Here is a 16,535-nt window from a genome sequence, read left to right as displayed (position 1 = left end):
TCAATTATTATTTCATATGTAAATTTAAAATATTACTTTATCAATTGTCTGAGTTTAAACACTATGATTTCTTCAAATTTAAACATGTAAAACCAGAGCACAGTGTGTGAACAACACTCAGTAAGAACATTTATAAAGAATGAGTAGATGGGTAGAAGAATGATGGATGAATGGATAGATATATTTTCTTTGTCACTGCTCTTAATCTTTATTTCTTCTTCTTTGTCACCAGCTCTAAACTTAGAAAAGTAGTGAAGCATCCCATTCACTTTAATATTATTCTCATTCTTTGAGAATAATATTATTTTGTTAGTCTCATTCTTTATTTGAAGATAGGAAATTTATACATATGATAATGATAAAGTACAATCTAAACTTAATGAAACATACCAGATGATTTCTGAGAAATTCAGAGTTTATGCCTTTTAAATTGTTTTCTAATTTCAAATTAATCTCACTTTATTAGGGATCAGATAATATAGTCCTAGAATCTAAAACAATAGAATCTGTAGGAATGATGTCTAGCAGAACTTTCTGTTGTGATGAAAATGTTGTAAATTTAACACGGTTAAAAAAGCTAGCCACTGTCAATATATAGCAGTTGAGCATTTAAAATGTGGCTAGTGTGACTGAGGAACTGGGTATTTGGTTTTATTTATTATAATCATTTTAAATTGAATTAAATGTTAATAGCCATATTTGACTAGTGCCCAGCATATTGTACAAAATAGTTATCAATTGTAAGATTAAGATAATGGAGATTTGCAAGGAAATTGTATCTAGAATGGTATAAATGAAAATTGTTATTCCATGTTAAGCCCAATATATCCCTAAGAGTGTTCATTTATTTCAGGAATGGGGCAAATAAATTACATTCCTTTCTTCTTTCCTTTTTTTTCTTCAACAAATGGATATTGAAAATACACTGTATTCCACATAGTATTCTAAATTTGTGTCATGCAATAGTGAATAAAATAAAATTCTAGCATTCATGGATATTATGCACTATTGAAAGGACATAAAATAAACAATAAACAAATGTATACATAAAATAATTTCAAATAATATTTGATGCCATAAAAAATAATAAAGCAAGTTAATAAAAGAATATTTTGGGCAGAAAGCTTAATGAAAAGGGACAGCACTGGATGTGGTGGCTTGTGCCTGTATTCCCGGCACTTTGGGGTACAAAGGCTAAAGGATCACTTGATCCCAGGAGTTCAAGACAAGCCTGAGCAACATAGTGAGACCCTGTCTCTACAAAAAATCAGAAAGTAGCTGGATGTGGTAGCACATACAACTACTTGGGGGGCCTGAAGTGGGAGGATCCCTTGAGGAGATGGAGGTTGCAACGAGCCAAGATTGTACCATTGCACTCCAGCCTGGGCAACAGAGTGCAACTCTGTCTCAAAAAATAAATAAAATAAAAAAGAGAGAAAGCTAGTCATGTAACAATCTGAGGGAGAAACGTTATCAGCATGGGGAATAACAAGTGCAAATCTCCTGAAGTGAAAACAGAGGTGGTCAGTTCCAAGAGCAAAAGGATGCCAGCTTTGCTAAACCAGAGAGATAGGTTGAAAGATTTATAAAAGATGAGCTCGGTGTGGTGTCCAGAAAACAGAACGAGTGGGCATACACAGAACATGATATATTTATAAGGTGATCATCTTAGTGATAGACCAAGAACTCTTCATGTGGGAAGGTAGTGAACAGTGAATAAAGAGTAGAGTTAATGAACTACAGGTCCATATGAGAGAGAAAAGTTATTGGAGGTAGAGAAGTAGAATAAAGTAAGCTGGAAATAGAAGAAATGATCTGTATAGAGGTTTTGGAATTAGTTAAGCTATTGGTGATAACAAAGTCTAAGATATGACCTCGGTGGCTGAATAAAAATTAAAATATGAAAGATGGTGATAGTGAGAAAATCAAATAATACTTAGGCCATTGTGTTTTATGAAGCATTTTCAAGCTTTCTGATGGACACAATGAGTATATGCCTACATTATTATGACAAGAATAACCTATATTTCAGTGAAAGACATTTGAAACCAAATTAAAGCTGTACTTTTAAGATTCTTTTTTCCTTTCATATATTATTTATAGTCTTTTCCTTATTTTCTCATCATCTCTTTTGTTTCTTCATGATTATTTGCAGCATTTATATAAAAGATATATGGAAACTATGAGACTATAACATTCCCATTATACTGTAGACTTGTAAAAGATCATGTTATGTTTCTGTTTGTATCTGCACCCTCAGCATCATGACTAACACATGATTTTTACTGAGTAAATATTGGTAGCATTGGATCTACTTTTGGAGCCACCTTTAATTGAATAAGTTTTATAAAATTAAATTAACTAATCCCAAACTTTTCTTCTAATAAATGGTGTCTTTTTTTTACAATTTTTAAACACAAAAGTGTCTTATTTATTTTGTTTTCCCTACAAATTCTTAACAGAAGTCATAAATGTAAACCAAATAATTAGACTTAGTGTTTCAGTAATATCTTACTTAGTACTTTTTAAGGACTGAATGTTTATGTCCCCTACAATTCATATGTTGAAACTGTAGTCTCAAATGTGATGACATTGGAGGTGGGGCCTCTGGAAGGTAATTAGGTCATGAGGGTGGAACCCTGATGAATAGGATTAGTGCCCTGTATTTGTCCATTCTCACATTGCTAATTAAGACATACCCAAGACTAGGTAATTTATAAAGAAAGAGAGGTTTAATGGACTCACAGCTCCACATGGCTGGGGAGTCCTCACAGTCATGGTAGAAGGCAAAGGAGAAGTGGGGGAATGTCTTACATGGTGGCAGGCAAGACAGCATGTGCAGGGGAACTGCCCTTTATAAAACCATCAGATCTCGTGACAGTTATTCACTGTCACAAGAACAGTGCAGGAAAAACTGCCTCCATGATTTCTCCCACCAGGTCCCTCCCACAGGACATGGGAATTATGGGAGCTACAATTCAAGATGAGATTTGGGTGGGGACACAGCCAAACCATATCATGCCCCAATATAAACAGGCAGAGAACCAGCCAGCTTCTTTTCTACCATGAGAGAATACAAAGAAGGCAGTATGTAACCTAGAAGAGGGCCCTCATCAGAACCTGACCATGCTGGCACCCTGATCTTGAACTTTGAGGCTCCAGAACTGTAAGAATACATTTCTGTTGTCCATAAACCACCTACTCTATAGTAATTTGTTACCGCATTTTAAATGAACTAATACAGTGCTGAATAGAATAAGAAGATTCCTTTGACATCATTTCTTTTTCTGTGCCTGTATATTTGCTCTCCAGCCTCCCATTTGACTTTTGAGTCTCACTACAACTTTGCTGAGTAAGATGCTCTTGCCCTGTTTCAGCAGATGTATTCATCCTTTGCCACACTCTGGTGTGATTAATGAGCTAACATTAATAAAGTACTTTGAGTTCCTTGGATAAAGTTGTGCAAACTATTATTCTGTTGTGTTACTTTCTTTAGGGATTATTATAATGCTCCATTGTATCTGTGGAGTCTAGGAGACAAAAGTGACATAAATGTCTCTGAGAAGGCACACTTCAACAAAGTATGCAAGTACAACTGCATGAAAGCAACCAGGGTACAAAATTTTATTTTTAATATACTTTCATTCTCCACTCACCTTTTTTATTCTCTGTTCTCAGCCCAAAGTAAAGTAAGGTGAAGTAATACCATCTTTCTGTATGAATAATAAGTGTTACATTGTGAGGCATTAAGTATACATTTGGAAGCAATTTAAAAATCTTTCAGTTTCTAAGTCATATTTTTATACTAAAGAATAGTTAATATGTCCATAGGAAAGATAATGGGCTTTTTATCATTGTGAGGTATTTAGGTTTAAAATGTTCTTAAGGTTATATTGTATAATGCCCCCCAAAAACACAGCTTATGAGTAAAGGACTGATCTTAGGAATCTGCTACATGAATAGGTTCATTTGGAAGGCAATGATGTCCTGCGGTTACTTTGTGTGCTTCATTGCTGGTGGACAGATGGCTGGTTTCTCACTGTGTTCTCATTTCAACTCTGTCTCTAGCTTGCTCCTTTCCCATGTGGCCTTCCCCCTGTGCTAATAACAGAAGCTTTTTATTCTATGCCCAGGTTTTACTTACTCTTAAATTTAGACCCTCCCTTCAAGTCCAAAGGTCCAAATTGCTAGAACTGTGCAATGGTACCAGGATTCTCCCTACTAAACTATGCACCACATGCAACTTACAAGTTATGTCTAGGGAACCTAAGCACGATTTAATGCCTGATTCTTTCTTTCTATAATATTGCAAATTAATTTACTAAATTATATATTTACAATCAAAACTATAAAAGGATTAGGAGGCAGCATGATGTGGCAGTGTGCTCAGCATCCACAGAGCCAGGTTCTAGTTTTCTTTCCGTAGATAGGACCTAACATGTGTAACACCCAGGGGCTCAGAATCATCATGTGTAAAATGAGATTATTAAGACAGACGCTTTCTACAGCCCCTTTCAGACCAATGATTCCGTTAGAATGGGACTCTTGAAGGGTGTATTCTTTTTTGCCAGGTTGTTTGGCATGAAACATCCAAAATGTCTTCTTGCCTATTCTAGTTCACAGTATTTTTAAAGAAGGGCTGCATTTCATTTGTAGTATTATCACTGTGAGTGTTTTCAAGGCCAAGCACTTAGCAATTTAAAAAGAAATGGAGGTAGGTGAGATTTGTGATGATTCATGCTCCGGTGGTTAAAAAATAACTGCCACTTTTTTTCGTGGATAGTGAAATAAAGTAGAAATTGTCAGACCTTGGACTGTGAAGCTCCTTGAAATGTGGTGGGAGATGAGAGGATACTGGTTAAGAGTGTAGGTGATGCAGCTGCACCCTGAGATGCTATTTGACCTTGGGAAAGCCACAGATCTTCCCCAAGAATATCTCCAAACCTGTAAAACTGGAATAATGTTAATTCCTACCTCACTAGGGTTTGCTTAGAGGATGAAATGATCCAATATTTCTAAAATACTTAGAGCAGTACCTGGCACAGTCTGTGCCATGATGTTAGGCATTAGCATAAGCGAAAGGGCCAGTGTAGTATAAAGCAGTAGATGCGTGTAAAAGACAGTACTGGGGCATTATTGATTCAGGGCTCGTGTCAAGTGAATCAACACTGGAGATCTAATTGTCAATTTGTATTTCTCCTGACTATGTGTTAGTCTTAATCCTATAGCAATGAAAATGACTCTATATCAATGTGTGTGTGTGTCTGATGGTGGGGAAGTAAGGGTGGAATAAATAATCATGACAGCTTTTTAAAACTAGAGATAACCTCAACTTTGAAAATTCTAATTTCCTCACTATAAACAAAATTGAATTGTGAGCACACACATAAGAAATCATACTCTAGGATTTAGTAAAATCCAAACTCTTCAAACAACTAGTTCTTAATGTGCCAGGCATTGTGCTAAGTAATTCCATATGTATTACATAACTCAGCTATATTAAAATAACTACAAGAATATATAATCTTTATCATTTTTGGTATGTTTCTCATATGCTTTAGAAGTAAAATGGAAGGCATATATTTATCATACACTAAATTATTCATAAACATTTTTGTAAATTTAGAATTAGAGGGAGCTTATTCATTATCTAATCCTCTTATACGAATGAGGAGCCTGAGAAATGTATGAGCCTAGAGGTTGGTGGTGACAGGGCTGGGACTTTCACTCACAGGTAACCGCTCTTCCTACAGTAACAGGTAAATTTTCTGAACATTGTTACCAATAATGTTACTCTATAACATTTCAGAAAATAAGAATTCTTCCCACTTCTATTGAATTATAAAACACATCACATACACACACACACACAGACACACACACACACACACGCATACCTTCTAGCCTATTGCTAAATAATATGAATTTAATAATTCTAAGCATACTTCAATTAAGTATGACTGTTCTGACCTATCTATTATCCATGGAGACACTTCTCCATGGCTGAATTTACTTACATGGGAAGAATAAAATTGTCAGTCAGAACAGTTCAGCAAAAAATAATAAAGTAGAAAACATTTAGTCACTTTAAATTGCGTTTCATCACCAATTTTTCAGTGTATATTAAACTTACATTATTGGGATGTCCTTTGAAAATTTAAAATGCCAGAAGTAATTTTAAAATTGTCTTTGTACCTCATACCATATGTTACAAGAGAAACACATCAACAACAACATCTTAATGTTTTAATGGTATGCACTAAGTAGTTCCCTTTGCTTGGATATGTGGTTGTACCCCAAAGAAATGAATAGAATCTCAAAAGATGTGTCTAATATTTTCAATACTAACAAGTCAGTTGATAGTCGCTGACAATAATACAGTCAGATTGGACATGAGTGAGAAAGATGAAGACTAAAACACATCAGACACTTCTTAGAAATAGCCTTTAAAATCTTAATTGCATTCATTTTACAATGCAGTGGTGGACTTATTAATTCAGTACACATTTATCCTCTTATTGTAAAGATTTGAAATATGTTAAAAGTTCTTATTTTCTTGAAGTTTACAGGATACTTGTTACTACAGAGCAATCTCCAATGCTTCCAGCCTCAAGAAACTGGAAATTTTTGGTCTAGTACTTCTTAAATACTGAAATCATTTTTACATAATAATATTCATAGTTGTGCATGTACTATTATAACTTGGAGAACAGAAAGGATATAATGTTTGCACTTATAATTTCTAATAAGGTATATATTTTTAAACCATATAAGTAGGTAAAGATAACATTATTATCATTATCGATTTGCCACTGAGAGAAGACACAAAATAATACTCCCATGTCTTGTCTCCTATATCTGTCAACTTTTTCCTATATAATGAGAAACAGAATTATCTAAATAAAAGTTAATTTCCAGTTTCTGAGAATCTTAGAAACTTAGTTTTTTTTTAGTTCCTTAACTCTGAAGTTCTTTAAAAACAAATTTTCCGTGTGTGTTTGTCTCCCCAAACTATAAAGAAAGTTTATCAGAGAAGATGAGGAACTGATGGCAAACATCTGATGATTTGTTTATAAGATAATCATAAGGTGCTGCAGAACAAATCCTGGGTCATTCTGAATCATTCATGGTCACAGTTACCATGTTTTTGTGTAAATGTAGACCTCTACTTCCTCCAGTTCTGCAAGGGGGTATGGATGGTCCTAGAAAATAAAACAAAATTCAACATTCCTGCCATCATTAGTCAATTAGGAACATCTTTAAATCAAGATCTTTTTTCACTGAAATCGTGAAGAGGACAGAAACTGGTGGTGATTGATCTTGGCTACATTTTTCAGATAACAATCTTGAAATTTTTCTCAGGGACCATGAAAATGAATAAGATGCCAAAATATAAATACCTTTAATAACTCAGGGCTGAATACAGTAAAAAATGTTTAAGCGAAATACCCTTAATAAATCCAAATGAGATTTATTGCTTCGAAAGTGTCTAAGTCTATAGGACCTCAGAAATACCTAAGAATACACCTAGTTCCCACCAGCTTCCAAGTGAGACGTCTATAATAATATAAGAAGAGTGAAAATGAGAAAAGGCCGCAGAGGATGTGAAATTGTATTTCCAGCACAGAGAATAACATTTTAGAAAGATATTTTGGATTTATTGTTCAATTCTTTGCATTAGCCATGTGCATTGGCCCACTTGTGCCTAAACAAAATCTTCAAGGCCCTAAGAGTACCCACCTCACTTCTGAGCTGAGTTGTAAAAATTGAATAGTAGTGTGTCAAAGAAAAGTTGAGATGGAGATGGCAAATTGAAGGAAAATGTGACCTGTTTTAAAGAAAAAAATTATATGGAGCTACTTCTGCTCCTTCACCTCAGGAAACTCATTTCTGATGATCTGGAATCTCTCCAGCTCATTCCAAAGTGAAGCATGACCCTAATATGGACTTAGAAAATTGATTTTAAAGTAGCATTTCCCCCACCATTATGAAATAGAAACTTGTGGAAGTTCCACTTAGAGTTTAATAGAATTGACCTACATTGTTTTTTCCACTTTAAATAGACCCATCTCTCTTATGGTGCATAGGAAGGAGGAAGAAACACATAGAAAAGAGAAATAAATCTCTTGTCCATATCTCCAAATTAATGACTGTGACTTCAAATGGTTCTCAGACTTAACAGTTTGATTTGAAGGTCTCTCTTCTTCTGTAAAGAGAAACTGCCATATGGCCTACATTGTGATCTTAACATTTACACAACAATTAAATATGCCTGGTTCATGCTGAAATACCAGCTCCCGGCTGGGAAATTAAAGCAGCATTCAGCTCCTCTCAGCAAGAAGGCTGAAGTTTGATATATTCTATAAACTGGATTCTGCACTAGCCAAGGGAAAGAGGATTGACATAGTTAGAAAACACAGTTGGACTTGTTAAAACAAGCATTTCAGTGCACAGATGCTAAGTCTCCTTGGAGTTATGCATTGGATCACTTTGCTCCTACTTAGCTATTAACTAAATATATTTTTGTTTTATTTCCTCTTATTTTTCATCTTTACTGCAATTTATATAAATGCAATCATTTACCTCTAAGATATTTCAAAAATGTTTGTTAGGAAAGAAAGGGGTTACAGGGTTACAGATTAAAATCTTCTCCATTTTCAATGAGCGCCAATTTTTTTAACTTTTATTTTCATTTCAGGGGCACCTGTGCAGGTTTGTTACATAAGTAAATTCATGTCATGGGGATTGGTTGTGCAGATTATTTCATCACCCAGGTACCAAGCCTAATACCCAATTGTTATCCTTTCTGTTCCTCTCTCCTACCCTCTATCCTCAAATAGGCCCCAGTATCTGTTCCCTTCTTTGTGTTCATGAGTTCTCATCATTTAGCTTCCATTTATAAGTGATAACATGCCGTATTTGGTTTTCAGTTCCTGCATTAGTTTGCTAAGGGAAATGGCCTCCAGCTCCATCTGTGTTCCCACAAAAGACAGGATCTCATTCTTTTCTGTGGCTGCATAGTATTCTATGATGTCTATATACTGCATTTTCTTTATCCAATCTGTCATTGATAGGCATTTAAGTTGACTCCACATTTTTGCTATTGTGCATAGTGCTGCAATCAACATACGCATGCATGTGTCTTTATAGTAGAATGATTTATATTCCTCTTGGTGTATATGCGGTAATGGGATAGCTGGTTCCAATGGTAGTTCTGTTTTTAGCTCTTTGAGGAATCACTGTACTGCTTTCCACAATGGTTGAACTAATTTACACTCCAACCAACAGTGTATAAGTGTTTCCTTTTCTCTGCAACCTCACCTGCATCTGTTATTTTTTTACTTTTTAATGGTAGACATTCTGACTAGTGTGAGATGGTATCTCATTATGGTTTTGATTTGTATTTCTCTAATGATCAATGATATTGAGCTTTTTTCATATGATTGTTGGCCGCATGTATGTCTTCTTTGGAAAAGTGTCTGTTCATGTCCTTTGCCCACATTTTAATGGTGTTGTTTGTTTTTCTCTTGTAAATTTGTTTAAGTTCCTTATAGGTGCTGGATATTAGACTTATCAGCTACATAGTTTGCAAAAATTTTCTCCCATTCTGTAGGTTGTCTGTTTACTCTGTTGATAGTTTATTTTGCTGTGCAGAAACTCCTAAGTTTAATTAGATCCCATTTGTCAATTTTTGCTTTTGTTGTAATTGCTTTTGGCATCTTTGTCATGAAATATTTGGCCGTTCCTATATCAAGAATAGTATTTCATAGGTTGGTTTCCCAAGTATAATAAAGATTAAAGATAGAAAATACTTGTGCATTTTATACTATTCTCTTTAATAATTTCGAACATGCTATCAAAGTATATTTTCATCTTCATCCATGGCAATGTTCATCATAAAGTCACATTCATTTGGGGAAAGTAGGAACTTTCTTAGACCCAGTTCAGATATGGAGGATGCAGTACAAGTTTGTAATTACCTTTACAAAGCTTAATTTTATTTTTATTACTGATGATTTAAAAGATTACACATTAAGTGAAGAGATTAAAAAATAGACAAACATGTCAACTCAACTAATATTTTATTTAAATCAATAAATGATGATATTTAGGTATGTAGAGGACCTTAAGAATAGGGTTTCTGTAAAGAGAAATACACACTACACACTGAAGAAAAGAATGACCAAGAGCATTACTGGAGCTGATTGAAAGAATTACTAGTTAGTCCTACGGGGTATATTTCCCATAACACAGAATGAAGCACGTAGCTGGAACTAAGTAGATGCTTGCTGAATTGAAATGGAGCATTTGAGATTGTAATTAGAGACAGTACTAGTTGGAAACATGAAATCGGACCAGATTATGGATGGTTTTGAAAGCCAGATTAAGGAATTTGAAATTTATTCCACTGACAGTAGCATCCAAATGTGAATGGTCATGAGATACTAATTCAAGTTTGGGGAAGAATTGTCTTTACCTTGGCTAGGAAAACTCTTGTACTATATCTAGCTAGACAGCAAATTACAGAATGATTGTTTTTATGACCCAAACTTTCTTTACCCTAAATCCACTCACTACACATAATTTGAATTAATACTTTTCAATGTATTTTCAAGATATTGTGTGGCAACATTCTACTCAAGATAACATATAAGAAAGCCAGTAACAACAACATGTTTTACATTGATATTGGGAAAACAATTTTTAAAGCCCATTTCTTTTACACATGGAGCACAAATGAAACAATATTGTCAATGTAACTACAAAGTAGTTTTCAATGCTTTACTAAGTGGTGTTCTAAAGAAATATTGAAGGAATTTCCATTAAACTTATATACATATCATTATATGGTGGAAAACATATTGCAAAATTTATTAATGATATTTGATAGTCCTATGTGACAGTATTGGGCATATTTTATTCAGTTTTCTCTACCAAAATAAATAATCTATGTGCTTTTGTACCAGTGTAAAAGTCAATAAAATTTAAACGTGTGGCTCAATATGAAAGAATATCTTTGTATGTGAATCTTTTAACATTCCACTAAACATATACTATAGCTAGCCAAAAAGAAGAGCTCTTGGCAGGGCTCAGTGGCTCACACCTGTAATCCCAACACTGGGAGGCTGAGGCAGGCAGATCATGAGGTCAGGAGATCAAGACCATCCTGGCAAATATGGTGAAACCCCATCTCTACTAAAATACAAAAAAAAATTAGCCCCCGGGCGTGGTGGCGGGCACCTGTAGTCCCAGCTGCTCAGGAGGCTGAGGCAGGATAATTGCTTGAACCCAGGAAGCGGAGGTTACAGTGAGCCGAGATCATGCCACTGCACTCCAGCCCGGCAACAGAGTGAGACTCCGTCTCAAAAAAAAAAAAAAAAAAAAAAAAAAAGAAGAGAAGAGCTCTTGTATATTTTTTGTCTGCATGCTCTCAAATACTTTTTTGTCTGCACATATGTATTAGTCTGTTCTTGCATTGCTATAAGAAACTTCCTGAGACTGGGTAATTTATGAAGAAAAGAAATTTAATTGATTCAAAGTTCTGATGGCTATACAGGAAGCATGGCTGGGGAGGCCTCAGAAAACTTACAACATAGTGAAAGGTGAAGAGGAAATAGGCACATACTATACATGGTGGAGCAGGAGAGAGAGAGAGAGAAGGGGGAAGTAATACACACGTTTAAACAAGCAGAAGTCTTGAGTACTCACTCATTACCATGACAACAGCAAGGGGGAAATCCACCCCCATGATCCAATTACCTCCCACCAGGCCCCTCTTCAACACTGAGGATTACATTTCTACATGAGATTTGGGTGGGGACACAGAGCCAAACCATATCAACATACTAACAAAAACCTCCAACCGAATCAAACTTTGTCTGTCATAAACAATTTGCACATGATACTATTTATTAACAGTAATGTAAATTTTATTTTTCTGTATTTTTTTTTTTTGCCTCTGAATCTAAATGCCACAGATTCTTTAGCAGAAATCTATTTTATCCTGGTTAATTAAACTGGTAAACCAACTGGAGTTACCTGACACTTGAATGGAAAAGAAAAATAGACGGAATTTTTGAAAAGCATTTTTAATGTGTTTAAATAGCTATCTCTCATGAACAAAGTGATTAGCATTTGCTTTACAACGTTCCAAGAAGAGTATCCAAAAAAGATTGCATAATTAAAGCAAATGTCCCAAAAAGTTTATTTATAGATGCTTTGATATCTAAAACATAATTTTAAGCTTCTGTTGTAAATATGATCCAAAAGTTGTACAAAGACACAAAGCATGAGCATGTTTGGCACCTTGGATTATTAGAGCAGAGTTTATGAAGATAGGAGGCCAAAAATATGTCCTCATGAGCACTCCTGTCAGTCCTTATTGTGGTACTTTCAGTGTGAGGAGTTTGCTATTGGCTTCCAGTAGATTGAGGCCAGGGAGATGAAGCTAAACATTTTACAATGCACAGGACAACTCCAGACACCAAAAAATTATCTGGCCCAAAATGTCAGTAGGGCTGAGGTTGAGAAACCCTAGTCTAGAAAGTCTCATTCAGTTTTATATATTGGAACACAAGTGGAGAAGTTAATATTAGTCAAATAGCATTCAGATGATTTCTCTTTGCATTTATTTTGTTTTTCTTCTGAGATTCTTTCAAGTCTTCCTTCATTCTCACTTGACCTCCGAAATTCCAGTTGTCTTTCATCTTTCTGTCTAGGAGTTTCTGCTATGATAGTGATGATGATGCAAAATAGTAAGTAAATATACAGCTTGATAAATCAATATTCTAGGACTAGAGTATTTTAGTTATATTTTGCTAGTGCTCAACAACAGCAAAATTCTTTTTTGTTTTTAGTTGATGCTGTAAAAATTGGCTAGTATCCTTTCTTGAAATACATGAGTAGAATTTTCTTGTCCTGATATGGTATTATAATAAATTATATATCTTTCATGTTTCAAAGCTTATTTTTAATTATTTTAAGTGTTATAGTTCTAGAGGATGTTTTTGTTTAGACTCCTCAGGAAAGTGAGGGAGTTGGGACATGACCTGCAAATAACTTCTTTACAAAATATGTGCCTGCTTAAAAAATGTTAATACCAGCTAAGTATTTGATAATTTTAAGAAATTACTATTAATTTTGGGGGTGTTATGGTGATATTATGGACATTTTTATTTTAAGAATATTTATATTTTAGTGATGCATACTGAAATTTTATCTTTGAAATAATATGTCTGCAATTTTTCTCAAAATAATTAGGTGGAAATGTATGAGGTACCAGTGAAACAAGCTATCAGTTGATGATTGTTTAATCTGAGCAAGGAACATATGAGATTTTATTATGGTATTTTGTTACACTATTCTACTAATTCGTTAGATTTATACTCTTCTACTAGTATTCTAGTAATATAGTATATTGTTACTTTTATGTGTTTACAATTTTCTGCAATAAAACATTAACAAAATATAGGAAAAATCTGCTTTTTTGTAACTTTTATCTTTTTGGAAAGTCATTTCTCATCCTTATCCTTCTCAAATATGGAAATAAAATACTGGTTTATTGAGTTTCTGGTTATATGAGGCTTCTTTGAACACGGTTTCAACAGGATGTATCACACCTCAGTTAAGCTTTGAAACAATGAGTGTGTGTCTTTTCTCCTGGATGAAAGGCAGACCCCTTGGTGGGAGGATTTCCTGGTGTCCTTTTTATCATGTTGACCAAATGAGTCAGAGAGAATTTCTTTTTTAAATATAAAAGATAATATGTAGTTTGGATAACCTGTTGGACTGTTTGACCTAATTCCTCACTTCACTTTGCTTAAAGTCACAAGCTAAATAGTGGCTTATACATCTTTAGTCTGCTGATTTCTGTTCTTTCCAGATTTTATTTGCCTAAGTTAAGATTCAATAAAGGACATCTATTTGTAAGGAAAAAAATGTATGTAACCAAGGAGTAGGCAAATGTTTTTCTGTAAAAGTTCAGATAGTTAATATTTAGGCTTTGTAAGCCATATATGATTGTATATCCATCTTTCATTTTTGCTTTTATTTTAACAAACCTTTAAAAATGTAAATCCATTTCTTAATTTAAAAAAAGCAGTTCAATAAGCCAATGGTTGGATTTGGTTATAGGACTCCTGATCTAACCCGTCTGTTCAAAACAAGCCTCTTTTCCAAATTTAACTCATTCTGAATAAGATATATAAGGAAAAAACATTCTATAAAATATATTTTCTTATCATTATCATTGCTTTAATGTATATGCATTCTACCTCTATCAATTAACACATACTACTAACTAAAGTAACTAATTATTCATGTGGATTAGTATTTCTTATCAACCCATACTTAAGCTTACATACAAACTTTTTAAACTCAAAACCTCAGTGGCATTTTTATGATTGTAATTATTACTTTCAATTTGCTCATTAGTGGTCATATAGAATTATGTTTCTTGGAGTGGGAAAAAAATCAACAGATATTTACCTCTGTTAGGATTGATTTGTAAGTGTGAATGTTTTCTTGATTGGGCAGTGGTAATAGGATTTCTTTATTTGCCTAATAAATTTTTTCTGTTATCTTGCACAAAGATTGATTCCCAGTCGTCCTCTATGAATACTTCAAATTACTGAAAAGTAGAAAATGAAAACTTTATAGGTAGGATATTAGTTTTCTACTTACCTCAAGACCTCTCTGTGGCTACTCACATACTGAACTTGAAGAACTCATTGTAATCTATCGAGTGAAGGAAATAAAAGAAAAGGTAGAGGCTCTTAACAAAATGGACTGGTATGAACTTCTGGACCTGAAAGAGGTCACGAGTAGAGATGTGTATGAGTCAGGCACTCAGGGGGATGACACAAAGTAAAGATCAGATTAACTGATGATAGAGTGCATTGTAAGGGATCACAGGAAGAAAAGAAGCACTGTAAGGGATCACAGGAAGAAAAGAAGCAAGGGAAATTATCTCAGGAGTATTAGAGGCAGACTTTATGGCAAGTGAGATTGTCCATCAGGAAACCACAGTGATGCCAGTGGCCCAACACCACTTTGGGGATTTATCATTCTCACAACTCATGCACTCTGATTATTCTAGCTATTCATTCTTTACTTTAAATCTCCCCAACAATGGGTATGATTAATTCTATTAGTCACAGTCTGATTGAAGCATCCCCATCGAAAGAGTTCTCCAGCCAGATCGTTGTATGGGCTGCTACCTGAGTTATAGATGACCATCTTTGGAGTAAGCATCAATCCTGGTTGAACCAGTTATCAGAGATTTTTAAAGTCACATGAGAAAAGCTTTCCAATTTGTACAAAACACACACACACAAATACTGCTTTCATTTTTTAATAAAAGAATAACTGGTTTAATGTGAGAAAGAGTTTCATGAAATTAGTTTTTTTATGCAAAAGTTTTGCTTTATTTGTTCCCAAAACAATCTTTTATCTTATATTCACTCCTAGGACAGACACAGCCTAGCATTGTTTTTTTGTTTTGTTTTGTTTATGTTTAGGTTCAAAATCATGGATGCCTCATCCCCTTTCAAGCTCTGTTGAAGTTTCATTTTACAGTGATTATTTAGAGAGACTACTTCTGTTGTCAGTGCTACAGCTTTAGATCAATCAATTCCCCAAAATTATTATCAAAACTTCTTTACAATTCTTTACTAAAAACTTCCCTTCCAGCTCATTTGGCAAACTGACTATAGATAAATATGCCTGTATTATGAAGCAAAAGATTTGAGAGAACAAATTTACCTGTTGGAGAAAGAGAGGCTAACTATCTTTCCCATAAATGGCAAGATATGTAGAGAGCTAGAACTCTCCACTCTATTCCATGTAAGTTAATTTCTTAAAATAATATTTTGCACACGAAGTTTTTCCTGAAGAGCCCTAAAATAATAGTGTAGACCAGGACTAACTTTCTTACCCATGGAGAAATATTCTCTATGCCTAATCAAATACTTATGATCCTGTCAAGCTGCTCTTCCAAAATTTCATAAAAATTAGCTTCCAAACCTTTCTTTGAACCTGTATCATGATACTATTTCATTCTAATGTCTCCTCTCCCCTCCTGTTCCTTTTCTCTTGTCCTCTTCATCCCCATAGTTTGTGTAATGTAGTTTCTACACTTTTTTGAAGTCTAACCAAGACCCTTCATGTCACCAATGATGTACAGAATTACTCTATGATGAATGATATATTATTTGAATTTACATAAAGTCTCTAGTAGGTTATTTAGCCTTGGAATTATGCTCAAATCTTTTTTCATATTATGCTTGAATTTATAATTCTCGACTCTTTCAGTCAGGATAAGGATACAAAATATACTTATTTTGTATTCTCCACAATTGCCTAAGGTACAGGTTGCAGGGAAAATGGTGGTTAACTTGAATTCATGTTATCTTTAATTTCCATTCCTTTTGTTTACTTTTTCCAACTTCTTCTAAATGAGGAACTCTTTTTAAATTATAAATCTGACAGCTATATGAACTCATTACCCAAAAGAAGCTTATCAGTGGTAATACTTA

The 16,535-nt window shown here is 34.3% G+C and overlaps 1 protein-coding gene across 1 annotated transcript in view, besides 1 other annotated feature; it reads left to right on the top strand.

Moving 5' to 3' along the window:
• HCN1 (hyperpolarization activated cyclic nucleotide gated potassium channel 1) overlaps positions 1-16,535 on the top strand; it is a 441,433-nt gene that overhangs the window by 403,409 nt on the left and 21,489 nt on the right. The gene's annotated exons all lie outside the window — the stretch shown is intronic.
• Positions 3,713-4,282: an enhancer, noted in NCBI's record as "OCT4-NANOG hESC enhancer chr5:45288792-45289361 (GRCh37/hg19 assembly coordinates)". NCBI's record gives its function as "activates a minimal SCP1, AML or CMV promoter by ChIP-STARR-seq in primed H9 embryonic stem cells {active_cell/tissue: H9 hESC(primed)}" and the evidence as "EXISTENCE:reporter gene assay evidence [ECO:0000049][PMID:30033119]".

The sequence above is a fragment of the Homo sapiens genome, chromosome 5, assembly GCF_000001405.40.
Source record: "Homo sapiens chromosome 5, GRCh38.p14 Primary Assembly".
Classification (NCBI taxonomy): domain Eukaryota; kingdom Metazoa; phylum Chordata; class Mammalia; order Primates; family Hominidae; genus Homo; species Homo sapiens.
The sequence above is the reverse complement of the archived record's forward strand: the minus strand, read 5'-3'. Positions and strand labels throughout refer to the sequence as shown.